This window comes from Homo sapiens, chromosome 11, assembly GCF_000001405.40.
Source record: "Homo sapiens chromosome 11, GRCh38.p14 Primary Assembly".
NCBI lineage: Eukaryota > Metazoa > Chordata > Mammalia > Primates > Hominidae > Homo > Homo sapiens.
The window spans coordinates 33100586-33114644 of record NC_000011.10 but is presented as its reverse complement, the minus strand read 5'-3'; the positions used below and the strand labels follow the sequence as shown (position 1 = coordinate 33114644).

Here is a 14059-nt window from a genome sequence, read left to right as displayed (position 1 = left end):
TCCGGACCTCAGGTGATCCACCCGCCTCGGCCTCCCAAAGTGCTGGGATTACAGGTGTAAGCCACTGCACCCAGCCTCAAATATGTTTTTAAACCATTTCAAGTTAATTGTATAATGATTCTTATAACTGGTGATTTTAAAAACAGCGTACTTTTTAAAACTTTTGACTTTATGGGATTTTTTTTTCCCCAAGGGATAAGGGAAAAAATTGAATTTGAGGAAACCTGTCAAAATGCTGTTGACATAGAGTTTTATTTCTCTGGTCAGAAAAATGTGAATTTTGTCGGCACTTACATCAGCATTTCCTAAAACATCCAATGAAGCATGAAATATGTTCCTAACATTAGGAAAAACTCATTTATTTTTGAACAAGTGAATATCATGCTTTCTTTAGATCTCAATATAAATATATTCCAGGGAAAGGACATGGCTAGTCTAAACTGTTAAAAATAGATGTTAGTCAAAGGGTCATTAGACCTTTTCTGGCAAAGTTAACACTTTAAAAATTAAGTAATTAATTTTGTTTTAACCTATTAAGTAATAGGTGATCATTAGTTCCAATAATTTATCTGAGGATAGTTTTAGTTCCAAAAGATACGTGATGACCAATTAATGCTTGGGAAATAATTGTGGAAGTTAACAAAGGCCTGGAAATATGAAGTATTCAAAAGTATTGGGAAAAGATCTGTGTTTCCTCATCATGTTATACTTGTTTTACTCTCCCTAAGATAACCACTGATTTTTTTTTTTAAACAGAGATGGGGCCTTGCTATGTTGCCCAGGCTGGTCTCAAACTCCTGGGCTCAAGAGATCCATTCACCTCAGCCTTCCAAAGTGCTGGGATTATAGGCATGAGCCACTGCACCTGGCCGTTAACCACTGATTTGAATGTAATTAAACTTAAAGGTTAATTGATCTTGATATTGCTATTCTAATTATCATACTCTTCTATTAAAAAAAAGGAAGTTGAAGATTTAAAAAATTTATTATTTTTTCTCAATAGACACTTTTCATATCTTTGTAAAATTTGGATAATTCATTAAAAAGGTAATGTAATTGTATGACAAATTTTTATGATAGTATGTGTACCAGATAAGTATTTATTTGTTTTTTGTTTGTTTGTTTGTTTAGACAGGGTCTTGCTGTGTCACCCAGGCTGAAAATGTAATGGTGTGATCATAGCACACTGCAGCCTTAAACTTCTGGGCTCAAGCAATCCTCCCACCTCAGCCTCCCAAGCAGCCGGGATTACAGGCATATGCCACCACACCTGGCTTAAAGTTAATTCTATTAAGAGCCTCTGTCATTGAAAATGATGCACTACTTTTAATAGATTAAATATAAGCAAGTCTTAGTAAGTTTTGCAAAATTATTTGTATGCATATAATGGTCTTATTCATTTATTTATTTATTTATTTATTTATTTATTTATTTATTTTGAGACAAAGTCTCACTCTGCTGCCCAAGCTGGAGTGTGTGGTGCGATTTCTGCTCACTGCCACCTCCACCTCCTGGGTTCAAATGATTCTCCTGCCTCAGCCTCCCGAGTAGCTGGGACTACAGGCATGCGCCACCATGCCCAGCTAATTTTATATTTTTAGTAGAGACGGGGTTTCACTATGTTGGCCAGGCTGGTCTTGAATTCGTGGCCTCAAGCAATCCACCCACCGAGGCCTCCCAAAGCACTGGGATTACAGGTGTGAGCCACATGTAATGTGGTTTATAATGGTCTTTAAATGGAGACCTATAATGGTCTTTAAATGGAGACATTTTCTATTGATTAATGGCAGGAAGTTCTGAGAATCCCAAATGTCAAAACAAAGTAATCTTAGGTATCAAGAATTTTTTTTTATTTTTAGAATTTAAACCAGGCTTTGATTATCAGGTAGAATGGAATACTTATAGCTAAGATGTTTTCATGTAAATATTAGTAAGTAATACATAGGATAATAATCTTTTAAAGAAGGAAAATGGTGGGATGGCTAAAGACAGGGTATTGGTGTGCTAGTCTCACCAATAATGCCATTTGAATATGGCCTGCATTTTTCCTCTGCATCAAATGGGCCAATTATAGTAACACCATTGCTCTTTCTGGCTACTTGGTTTACATAGTTCTGTTTAGAGAAGATATAATGAAAAGTTATACTCCTTTAGTTTATAGCTTTGTTGACTAGTATGATTTATGGGCACCTGGAACATCTAGATGCTTTATATTCTTTTTAATTCTTGATAACCCTTTGAAATGGATGTTATTATCATTCCCATTTTATAGGTGGAAAAGCTGATACTGTAAGAGAGGAAGTAATTAATGCAATGTGATCAAATTCTTTTCATTTTGTCACACTGCAGATTTAATCTCCAAAGCACATTGATGATTTTTTTTTTTTTTCCACACAGAGTTTCGCTCTTGTCACCCAGGCTGCAGTGAAATGGCACAATCTCAGCTCACTGCAACATCCACTTCCTGGGTTCAAGTGATTCTCCTGCCTCAGCCTCCTGAGTAGCTGGAATTACAAGTGTGCGCCACCATGCCCAGCTAATTTTTGTATTTTTAGTAGAGACGGGGTTTCATCACGTTGGCCAGGCTGGTCTCGAATTCCTGACTTCAGGTGATCTGCCCGCCTTGGCCTCCCAAAGTGCTGGGATTACAGGCATGAGCCACTGTGCCTGGCCAATGATTTTTAAAAGTATTTTTTTAATGAATGATGTTTTAAAAAATAATGAGATTATAGCTATTGTGGTAAGGCCACCAGTACCAGCTCTGTAGAAGGTCTCTCAAATAATATTTACTGGTTGCATTAATGAATGACAATCAGTGGCCACGTACTAGAGATCAGAGAATTTTTCTGTATTAGTCAAAAGTGTCTTTCTACATACATTTATTGGGCTAATACCAATTTACCAATTAAAGAAATAATTGATGAATCCAAGATATGGGACCACTTTGTTGGGGACGGGTATGCAAAATTTGGTTATTTCGTAGATATACATAATAGACATAATTTTTACTGAAATGCATAGATGATAGTAAAGTCTTTTTTCTTGTCTCTATTTTTGCATCCACCCGTATCACCCTGCCAACCATAATTATGTTTAACAACCTTGTGGGTATTCCTTATTTTTCTCTATGCTAATAATACATAAACATATATAGGATTTATTTTTATTTATTTTATAAAGATAGATTATATAAATTTTACTATCTTTTCATTCAATAAGATCTTGTGGCAATTCCTCCCAATTACCTGTTAAAGCTGAATACATAATATTCCATGATGCGAATGCATCATAATTTATTAAACTATTTCCCCACTGGTGGACATTTGATTTTTAAACTGTTTTTGCTACTACAAAGTTTACAGTAAGTAATCTTGTACAATTACCTCTCTATTCTGTTGCTTTTATTTTTATTTTATTTTTTTAGATGGAGTCTCTTGCCTGGGCTGGAGTGCAGTGGTGTGATATCAGCTCACTGCAACCTCTGCCTCCCGGGTTCAAGTGATTCTCCTGCCTCAGCCTCCCGAGTAGCTGGGATTACAGGCGCCGGCCACTATGTCCAGCTAATTTTTTGTATTTTTAGTAGACACGGGGTTTCACTCTGTTGGCCAGGCTGGTCTCGAACTCCTGACCTTGTGACTTGCCCACCTTGGCCTCCCAAAGTGCTGGGATTACAGGCGTGAGCCACCATGCCCGGCCTGCTTTTATTTTTATAGGATAGATCCTAGGAGTGGAATTCCTGCGTCAAAAGATACATTTTTTTTTTATTAGAATAGCTGTTACTAATGGCTTTTCAAAAATGCTGTAACAATTCATATTTCCTCCAGCTGTGTATGAAGTGCCTTTTCATTACATGGCTTCAGTAGTGTTAATACCTTTGTAAGTTTTTGCCATTCTAATGGTTTTTAAGTAATATCTATTATTTTAATTTGTCTTTCCCACATTGGAAGTTTACACATTGTCATATAGCTTTTAACCATTTAAATTTTCTTTTCTGGGAATTAACTATTAATATTCTATGCCTATTTTCTCAATGGGTAGCTTTGGTTTTCCTGACCAGTTGTGTGAACTGTATATAATCTCAACTGCACCTAGGAAGCTGGTGATTTAAATTCATCCTACTTTATTCCCACTCTGTTTACCTCTACTAAGCCAAGCAGCCGAATGCAAGGAAGCTTCAGGTTCTATGGGAATCTCAAAGAAGAGGCCCAGTAGAGGGCCTAGGGAAAGGACTAAGAAGCTGACCCATAGAAAATTTGGAACCCCTCAAATGTCTTTACCCCAGACGAATGTTGACATCAGCCTGGCCTCTTGGCTGAGTCCTCCCTACTCTTGAGTAGAGATTTCTTTCTGGTTTCTTGGCAGAGGGCTAGCAGCAGCTTGTTTGCTGCCTACACCTGCTACACAGCTGTCATGGTAGAGAAGGGTCAATTTCTACTACTTTAGGACTGCCAACACAGCTTCAGTGAATAGGCAGGAAAAAATAATAGCACATCTGAAGGATCCACCAACCAGAAAGGAATATAAACTAAAACTATCAGGTCCTTAACAAAATAGAGCTGCTAGAGGAGAAATACAACTGGAACAAAGTAATATGAACACAGGATTCAAAGTGCTGTATTAAAAACTCTGGAGTCTAAAACCGTTATGTATGAACCAAATACAGTAATAGGCTAAGTGGAAGAGAATATTCACATGGAGCCCTAAATGAATTGCCTGGGGAATCTACTGGACAAACTATTTTAACACCTTGAGCAAAAATTCAAAGGAAGGGTAAAGATAACAGATTTCAAGGACAGAACCAGGAGATCTAACTTATATAGTTCTAGAAGGAGAAAAAAGGAACAAATAGAAGAGAGACACTTATTCTTGACCTAAAAAAAGCCCTGAGTATATGGGTTCAAAGGGCATGCTGAGTTCCAAGCAGATTTTGTGGTAATAAAAGTAAATGATAATTACTCAGTGCTCAACCTGCTAGGCAATATTCTAAAGGCTTCACATTTATTAACTCATTGAGTCCTCAGAATAGCCCTGACAAAGTAGGTATTATTATCCCCCTTAATCAGCTGAGGGAAAAAGAGGTTAAGTAGATAGCCAGATTGTGAACCTAAGAGGTCTGACTCCAGAGCCTTGATTGAACTGCTTCAAAGTACAAAGAGCTGTGTTTAAGTGTGTGCTAAAATTTATGAACTCTAAAGATCAAGATAAAAAAGTCCAGAAGAGAACAAGTTATCAGCAAAAGCAAAAAAGACTGTCATCAGCATTCTCACCTGCAGTAGTTTAAGCCATAAAACTGGGAATACTACTCTATTACTGTACTACTTGAGATAAAAGGACCAAAACTTCTCTAATCAGCCAAAATATTTATTTACCTATCTGGGTGAAACAGATTTGCTGATTAACACAGTTGAGCACCTAACCCCACCCACTCTGTGATGAAAATACTCAAAGAAAAGAGAAATCTAATAGTATTTAATCTTGGTCTTTGCACATGCTATTTCTCCTGCCTGGAATAACTCTTCCCTTTCTTCAGCAAATAGCTCAGATTCTCCTAGAAAAAGTTATCTTTTTCCCGGAAATCTTTTGCAATTCCCCAAGTCTAAGTCTTTTGCTCTTCCAAAATGCTGTAGCACCCAGTACTTTCTTCATTTTAGCACTTAACCATAATATCTTACAATGACCTTCCACTTCGTTGTCTTATTTTCCCCATAAGATTGTAAGCTCTATGAGGGCAGGGGCAGACCTGTCTTGTCACAGTGGTAGCCCCCACGCCTAGCACAATATCTGCAATATATTAGGTTGATGGTGTGACTGAATGTTTATATGTAGTCCAAATTTGCATATCTTTTTTGCCGCTCAGATTGTTCTGGTAGCTATACAGGGAAAGGAAAGCCTTAAGTTTTTCTTCAGTGGATACATCCTATTCAGGTAGACCTATCGGGTATGTGTATATTTCTGTATTCATCTCATGACTTTTACAGAATTTTATTAAATTCACAAAATTTATATGTAAATGTATGAAAATCCATATAGATTCAATTTACACAGGTATATTTACAATGCATTTTATCCATGTTTGCTTCACACTTCTGTTATTTTTGAAAGTAACAGAAAAATTAATAAGAAACTATAGGGATGAATTTGCAAAGTTGGTTAAAAATTGGTCAAAAATTCAGACTGATGCTCTAAAAAAATAGTATTAATTCTATATTTTTCTGTTTCTCTTCAGATTAAAGCTAAAAATTATGACAAGGTTGAAAAGGTGAGTCCTCAAATACTTTGAATTTTATATTGAAGTTTAACTTAAAACCTAGTATGTATAAGACAGATGTAGTAAAATGTTAATAATAATTGAATCTAGATAGTGATTTTTTACAAGTTAATTGTACTTATTCAGCTTTTTTATATGCTTGAAAATGTTCATCATAAAAGTTTTGGAAAAGGAAAAGAAAATAATTATACTCCCCTGACAAATCATGAGAAGCATTTTAATTATCTAAACTGAAAATGGGGAAATTATTTGCTTTTTATTTATAAGAGATAAATTCATAAAGGGAGCTGAATTTGTGTTTTTAATGTTCCATTTCATCTATGTCCATGTGAAATTTATTTAACTGGATTCTGATAATATATTCTTGTATTTAAAGCTATTTCAGAGATGCCTTATGAAGGTTTTGCACATTGATTTATGGAAGTGTTATCTTTCATATGTCCGAGAAACCAAGGGTAAACTACCAAGTTACAAGTAAGTGAAACCAGGATCTTAAGAATGCAAGTCATCTCCAGGCACACAGTTAATCCCACATAAACTCACACCTTCTGTTAGCCCCAAGTGGGAAGAATTATCAGGATTTGAAAAGTCAGGATTTCCTAAGAATTAGTAACCTTGAAAAAAGTGCTTCAGAGAAAGTCACTGGCATGAGTCTTACTCTGGAGAATTGAATCGCCCAAGCCCTTTCTATACTGAAACACTGTATAATTGCAACACCAAACCACTTTGTTGACAGACTTGTCAAATTTTTTCAAAAACCATCTTCATACTTGTGCTAGTACCACTTTTGTGAGGTCACAATGCAATGTGCTACTTAAGTGATCTAAGGGGTCTCTGACATTTGTAGTGATATAAGGGATCTCTGACAATTGTATTGTGAAGTTGCCATCCCCACTCCGAATTATACCCACCTCCCCATCTTTGCCAAATCTAAATAATGGACCTTCTTCTGAGGTGCCATTTTTCTATGTAACTAACAGGCAAGTTATGTCTGTTACTAAAATTCTGTCTTTATTGTCTTTTCCTGATTATACTTTTTGTTATGATTTTTGTGTTTTGAGACAGAGTTTCAGCTCTGTCGTACAGGCTGGAGTGCAGTGGCACAATCACGGGTTCACTGTAGCCTCAACCTCTTGGGCTCAAGTGATCCTCCCACCTCAGCCTTCCAAGTAGATGGGACTACAGGCAAGAGCCACCACACCTGGCTGATTTTTTTTCTATTTTTTTGTAGAGATGGGGTCTCCTTATGTTTGAGACTCCAAACGTAGCAGGGTCTCAAGCATAAGTTAATGTCCCTAGGCTGGTCTCAAACTACTGAGCTCAAGCAATTCTCCTGCCTCAGCCTCCCAAAATGCTGGAATTACAGGCATAAACCACCACACCTGGTCTGTTTATTGTCTTATATTGAAGTGGAAGTTCTTTTTCCCTAATGTACCCTTTACATTTTAACATAAGTTGCATTTTAATAAAACTATACTTTCCAGATTTCTACATTTTACTTTAGAGCTAAAGATCTTAATGTCTCATTAATGAGAGAACCACAAATTTCCACATTTGAATCTGCTATGTATAGAATTATGCAACTTAAATGATATAAAGATAAGTAAGACATGAGCCTTATTTTTGATAAGCTCACAAGCAGTAGATAAAGGAAACAATTTATGATCTTGACAAGCTTAACATCAAAGAACGACTTTATATACTTAAAAGATGTCTTTAATTTATGTTTATAGAGAATGTTCAAGTGTTGTTCTGATCCTGTGATCAGAAGCTACATTTTAGTTATATATACATTTATTATTTATTTATTTATAGAGACGAGGTCTCACTGTGCTGCCCAGGCTTGTCTCCGACTCCTGGCCTCAGATGATCCTCCTGCCTCAGCCTCCCAAAGCATTGGGATTCCAGGAATGAACCACCACGTCTATCTTCAAATAATAATTTATTTTTAATTTTTTTTAGAGACAGGGTCTTGCTCTGTCACCCAGGCTGAAGTGTAATGGTGCATTCATAACTCACTGTAACCTTGAAATCCTGGGCTTAAGCACTCCTCCCACCTCAGCCTTCCGAGTAGCTAGGATTACAGGTGCACGCCACCATGCCCAGCTAATTTTTTTAATTTTTATTTTTTTAGAGACTGGGTTTTGCTATGTTGCACAGGCAGGTCTTGAATTCCTGGTCTCAAGTGATCCTTCTGCCTCGGCCTCCCAAAGCAGTGGGATTACAGGCATGAGCCACCATGTCTGGCCTAATTGTAGATAAATTTTAATAACAAAAAAATTTAAAAACCACGTCTTTCATGTTCATTTCAGAGAAAAAATGGCTCAAGCATATGACTTTGCACTGGATAAAATTGGAATGGAAATTATGTCCTATCAGGTAGAGTTAAAACTTTTTAATGTATGCACTTAAATGTAAGAATACCAAGAAAGATATTAACATTTCATTTTATTTCTTAGATTTGGGTGGATTACATCAATTTCCTAAAAGGCGTGTAAGTATTTGTATAGTTTTTTTTTACATCTACAGTTGATTTAGCTAAAATATAATTTTTAGTTCTTTGAGAAATCTCCATACTATTTTCCATAGAGTTGTTCTTTGGGTAGATATCCAGTAGTGAGATTGCTGGGTTGAATGAGATTTGGTTATAATATAATTGATGGCATTTCTTATCCAATCTCAGGGAAGCTGTAGGATCTTATGCAGAAAATCAAAGAATAACAGCTGTCCGAAGAGTTTATCAACGAGGTTGTGTTAATCCGATGATCAACATTGAACAGCTCTGGAGAGACTATAACAAGTATGAAGAGGTAAATTAGGTCAGAGTAGTTGTTTATTATAAACCAAGCCATTTTAATTTCTATGCATTGTGGATTTGTAGATTATAGCCTTTCTGTATCAGTGTTACACTTTTTTTATTGATTGTAATGAAAGCACTATAATGTTTTTGCAAGGTTTGAGAGTCTCCATATAGTGTTATTTTTTAGAGGATACTCTGAAGAACAATAGTTCTTATAAAACTATTTTTATTCTTTGCTAAGCCATATCCACACATTCATACACACACATACACATTGTCATTGACCTATAAAACAGTACCTTTTGGGAATTATGTTTCCAATAGTACCTTTTGGGAATTATTTTTTGGTTGCTGTGCACCTTTTTCACCTGATTACAGTGATGTGATGATTGGTTTGAATTTGTGAAGTGTGTGGCTACAATCCAAGATCTTTGTGTTATTGGTATCTACTTTTAATAACTGAGCTAATCAATCTGAATACATAAATACACATGCCAAATAAGCTCTAGCATTAAAAGGAAGTTCCTTGGCTGGGCATGGTGGCTTACACTTGTAATCCCAGCACTTTGGGAGGCCGAGATGGAAGGATTGCCTGAGCCCAGTAGTTTGAGACCAGCCTGGGCAAGATGGTGAGAGCCCGTCTCTAAAGAGAAAAAAAGAAAGTTTTTCGTATGTATATTGTGATTTGGAAGAACTATATAGGGTAGTGAAATTGTTCCCTCACAGGCATCAGCTGTGGTTTTCAAACTTTATGGTTTTTGGATTTTAACAGTTATTGAAGATCACAAAGAATTTTTTGTTTTTATTTTTTTGAGACAGGGTCTTACTCTGTCACCGAGGCTGGAATGCAGTGGCACAATCACAGCTCATTGCAGTCTCAACTTCCTGGGCTCAGGTGATTCTCCCACCTCAGCCTCCCAGGTAGCTAAGACTACAGGCATGCCCCACCACTCTCAAGCTAATTTTTTGTAGAGATGGGGTTTCTCCATGTTGCTCAGGCTGGCCTTGAACTCCTGAGCTCAAGCAATTAGCCCGCCTCGGCCTCCCAAAATGTTGGGATTACAGGCACGAGCCACCATGCCTGGCCAAAAACTGTATTTTCCAAAACAAAAAATGTAGTGTGTAGTGAGAAGAGTGGCATTGTTTTATATTTTCACAAATCTCTTTCATATCTAGTGTAATAGAAAACAGCTGGATTTTCATATCTGCTTCCATTTAGTGTGTTATAATACTAAATGTCACGTAGCCTCTGTAAAACTCCTGTATTTTATGAGAGAGGCAAATAATGTCTTAGTGTTATAATGACAACTATTTTGATCTCATGGACTCCCTGAAAGGGTCTTAGAATCCTTGGAGTACTCACTGAGTGGTAATGTTTATCTTTCCTTGCTACTTCTGTTTGTCTTTTTAAAAAGTGTTATACAACAGAACTAGTTAGAAAAGGGCTATTAGCCAGGTGTGATGGCTAATGCCTGTAATCCCAGCACTTTGGGAGGCTGAAGTGGGAGGATTGCCTGAGGCCAGGAGTTTGAGGCCAGCCCAGGCAACATAGCAAGACTATGTCTCAACAAAAAAAATTTTTTTAATTAGCCAGATCTGGCAGGGCACACCTGTAGTCCTATGTCTGAGGCAAGAGGATTACTTGAGCCCAGGAGTTCAAGGTTCCAGTGAGTTAGGATGGCACCACTGCACTGTAGCCTGGGTGACAGAGGAAGACTCTGTTTATAAAAAAGAAAAAGAAAAGGGCTATCAAAGTCAAGCCATGGCTATTCACCCAGATGAATCTGTACATATTTTTTTTTTCTTTGAGACAGAGTCTCGCTCTGTCGCCCAGGCTGGAGTGCAATAGCATGATCTCAGCTCACTGCAACCTCTGCCTCGCCATTTCAAGCAATTCTCCTGCCTCAAGCTCCCAAGTAGCTGGGATTACAGGCGCACACCACCACACCCAGCTAATTTTTTTGTATTTTTAGTAGAAACGGGGTTTCACCATGTTGGCCAGGCTGGTCATGAACTCCTGACCTCAAGTGATCCACCCAACTCGGCCTCCCAAAGTGCTAAGATTACAGGCATGAGCCATGTCATTTTTTTTTCAGTAGAATCTTATATGAAATTATTGAGCCTTTTCAAATGATTCTATCTTTAAAAGTTCCTGATAAATGGAAACTTACTGCCAGCTCATAAGACATAAGCACATCCTCCTTGATCTTGGAAATGTATAATGTGATTGAACCTTTTTTCCCTGCTTTTCATGAGCTGTATGAACCTTTATTAAACAAGAAATCTTTTAAAATAAAAATTTAAAGTTATTTAGTAAATGAATAAATTAACTGTATTGTACTAATTTTTAAGAAACTATACTTAATTTTAAAATATTTTTGTTTTTTTCTAGGGTATCAATATTCATTTAGCTAAAAAAATGATTGAAGATCGGAGTAGAGATTATATGAATGCTAGACGTGTAGCAAAGGTATGGAATTCCATCAGGCTATTTTAATGATTATTATGAGTCTGTTGTTTACAGCAGAGCTTTCCCTGTCTGGTATTACTCTTGATATTTTCAGTCATTAGCAATCTTAACAGCAATTAATTGCAAAGTCTGAGGAGATGACATATTTGAAATGAAATCTCTCTTTGTAAGAACAAAATATAATAAATTGGGTTTAGAAGAAATTGTTTTTTAAAATATGGAAACAGAAGACATAGAGAGAGACAAGGCTCTACTTAGAATTGATGAAGTAATTCTTTTCCCTCTATTATTTGGGTTCATCTGAATATTGTATTACTCTGTGGTCTAATAACATAGCTCTCAGGGACACATTTTGATTGTGTGCATACCTTTCCATTCATTGACACTCTTGGAAGTTAGGAAAAATAGCCTATTAATACAAACTATTGAAATTTTAAAAGACAGTTTCTCCAAAGATGGCAATAATAATGCCACCAGATCTTCAATCCTATTGATCTGTCAACTCTTACATCCTGGAAAGTAACCTCCTAGATCACTTACAGAGAGGGCCCATGGGTGTTTTGTTTACCCACTCCTGGGAACCTGTTCTTGAGTGGGTAATACTCTTATCTTTCTCTCTACTCTTAAATAGTTTTTAGATTATATTAACAAAGTGGTATTTGGAAAAAGTAGGCATCTTGAACAGTCTTCCAAACTGATCTACCCCATCCGCCATATATCTCAGTTGTTCCTGGCTCACCAAAGAATTCTAAATCCTTGTTGTCTAGGAATATGAGACAGTAATGAAAGGCTTGGACCGTAATGCTCCCTCGGTGCCTCCTCAGAATACTCCTCAAGAAGCTCAACAAGTAGATATGTGGAAGAAATATATACAGTGGGAAAAGAGCAACCCTCTTCGTACAGAGGATCAGACCCTTATAACAAAAAGAGGTAACATGATTAACCCTCATGGGACTTCAGTTACATGTATGTTAGGCCACTTGGTATCCCCATAGGTTACTAAAATTTTCTTACCCCTAATCTTTTTTTCTTTTGTTCTTCAGATTCAATAATTCCTATAGATCTATCTCCATATTCACTGAACCTTTGTTTTCATCATATGCAGTCTGCAATTAAGCCCATCCAGTGAACGCTTTATTTCAGATACTATATTTTTCAATTCTATAAATTTCCATTTTAGAAATTTTTTATTTTTTATATTTCTTTTTTATGGTGTCCATTTCTTAGTTGAGATTCCTTGTGTGTTCATTACCATCTTTTTCTTTGTTTCTTAGAACATATTTATAATAGTAGTTATAAAGTCCTCATCTGCCAATTCCAACATCTGGGCCTTCAACCACCATGGAGTTTATTTTCTTTGATTGCTTTTTCTCTTGACTGTGGTTTACATTTCCCTATTTCCTGTTTAAATTTTTTCTTTTAGATATTGTACAAATGTACAAATGAAACATTGTAAAGACTGTAGATTCTGTCATCTTCCTCTGAAGAATGTTTTATTTTAGCAGGAAGTTAAATACTACTGTCAGATTACTTGGACTTTGTGGAGGCTTAGTTTTATACTATGAAGACAGGTCTGTTTTAGTTTTACCATTAATCTCAGATTAAATACCTTATTCTTGGGACATAGTCTTTACTCCTAAGACAATGAAAAGTCTAAGGTGTTTACCCCAACCATCTAATTGGATCGGACTCAAATTCTAAACTTCATCTCCCTTAGTTGCTGAGGTATCTATTTAACTCTTTCTGCCTTCCAGCTTTGTTTTCTGCTGGTCTGTTTGTATTCTTCCCTGTGTATGTACATTTTAGGGATCAGCTGAGGATTTGAGAACATTTATGCCCAGATTTTCGGGATCTGGCTTTCTCCTTTTGGGGATGTCTCCTCAATTTCCAGCTGCTCTCATAGGCCAGAACTCCATGTTACTTCAAGACAGTAAGACTGCAGCATTTGACTTGAGTTCTAGCTATCCCAGAAGTGCACAACATGGGCATGCGTTTGAAGGGAAAAGCCATATTTAAATATGGATCTCACCTAGTGTTGTTCTGTCTTTTTAAGGGCTCAGTCTCCTGATTTCTGCTTCTTTTGGTCATTTCCAGTACATTTAGATAGTTGCTTTTGTATTTGTGTTTTGTTTATTTATAATTTTTACTTGCTGAGGGTTGGTCTGATACAAACTACTCTGTCAGTGCCAGACTCTTAATTTGGAGCTTTATTGAATTCCTCAATCTTGCCTTGCTGTTGCCTTGCTATCTTACTTGCAGGTCTTTGCAAATATTGTTTCCTTTGCCCACTCCATTTTTGTATCTACCCCATCCTTACTCCACTTCACTTATTTGCCTCTGACCAGCTTCATCCCTTCTTCAGGTGTTGTGCTAGATGTCAGTTCCTTAGTGAAGCCTTTCTTGAGTCCCTAAACTATGTTAAGTCCTGCTGCTGTAAGTTTTCAGAGTATACTGTACTTTCATCATCATAATCCTTTTGATCTTTGCTTTCTGTCTGTCCTCCCCGTATACTGCAGACTTC

General features: G+C 36.7%; 1 protein-coding gene across 1 annotated transcript in view; it reads left to right on the top strand.

The window, feature by feature from the left end:
- CSTF3 (cleavage stimulation factor subunit 3) overlaps positions 1-14059 on the top strand; it is a 76897-nt gene that overhangs the window by 46836 nt on the left and 16002 nt on the right. The window contains exons 4-10 of the mRNA NM_001326.3: positions 6227-6259; positions 6645-6742; positions 8581-8647; positions 8728-8762; positions 8952-9078; positions 11461-11538; positions 12306-12468. Of these exons, the coding sequence (NP_001317.1) occupies positions 6227-6259; positions 6645-6742; positions 8581-8647; positions 8728-8762; positions 8952-9078; positions 11461-11538; positions 12306-12468 (601 nt within the window). The remainder of the gene's footprint in view (positions 1-6226; positions 6260-6644; positions 6743-8580; positions 8648-8727; positions 8763-8951; positions 9079-11460; positions 11539-12305; positions 12469-14059) is intronic.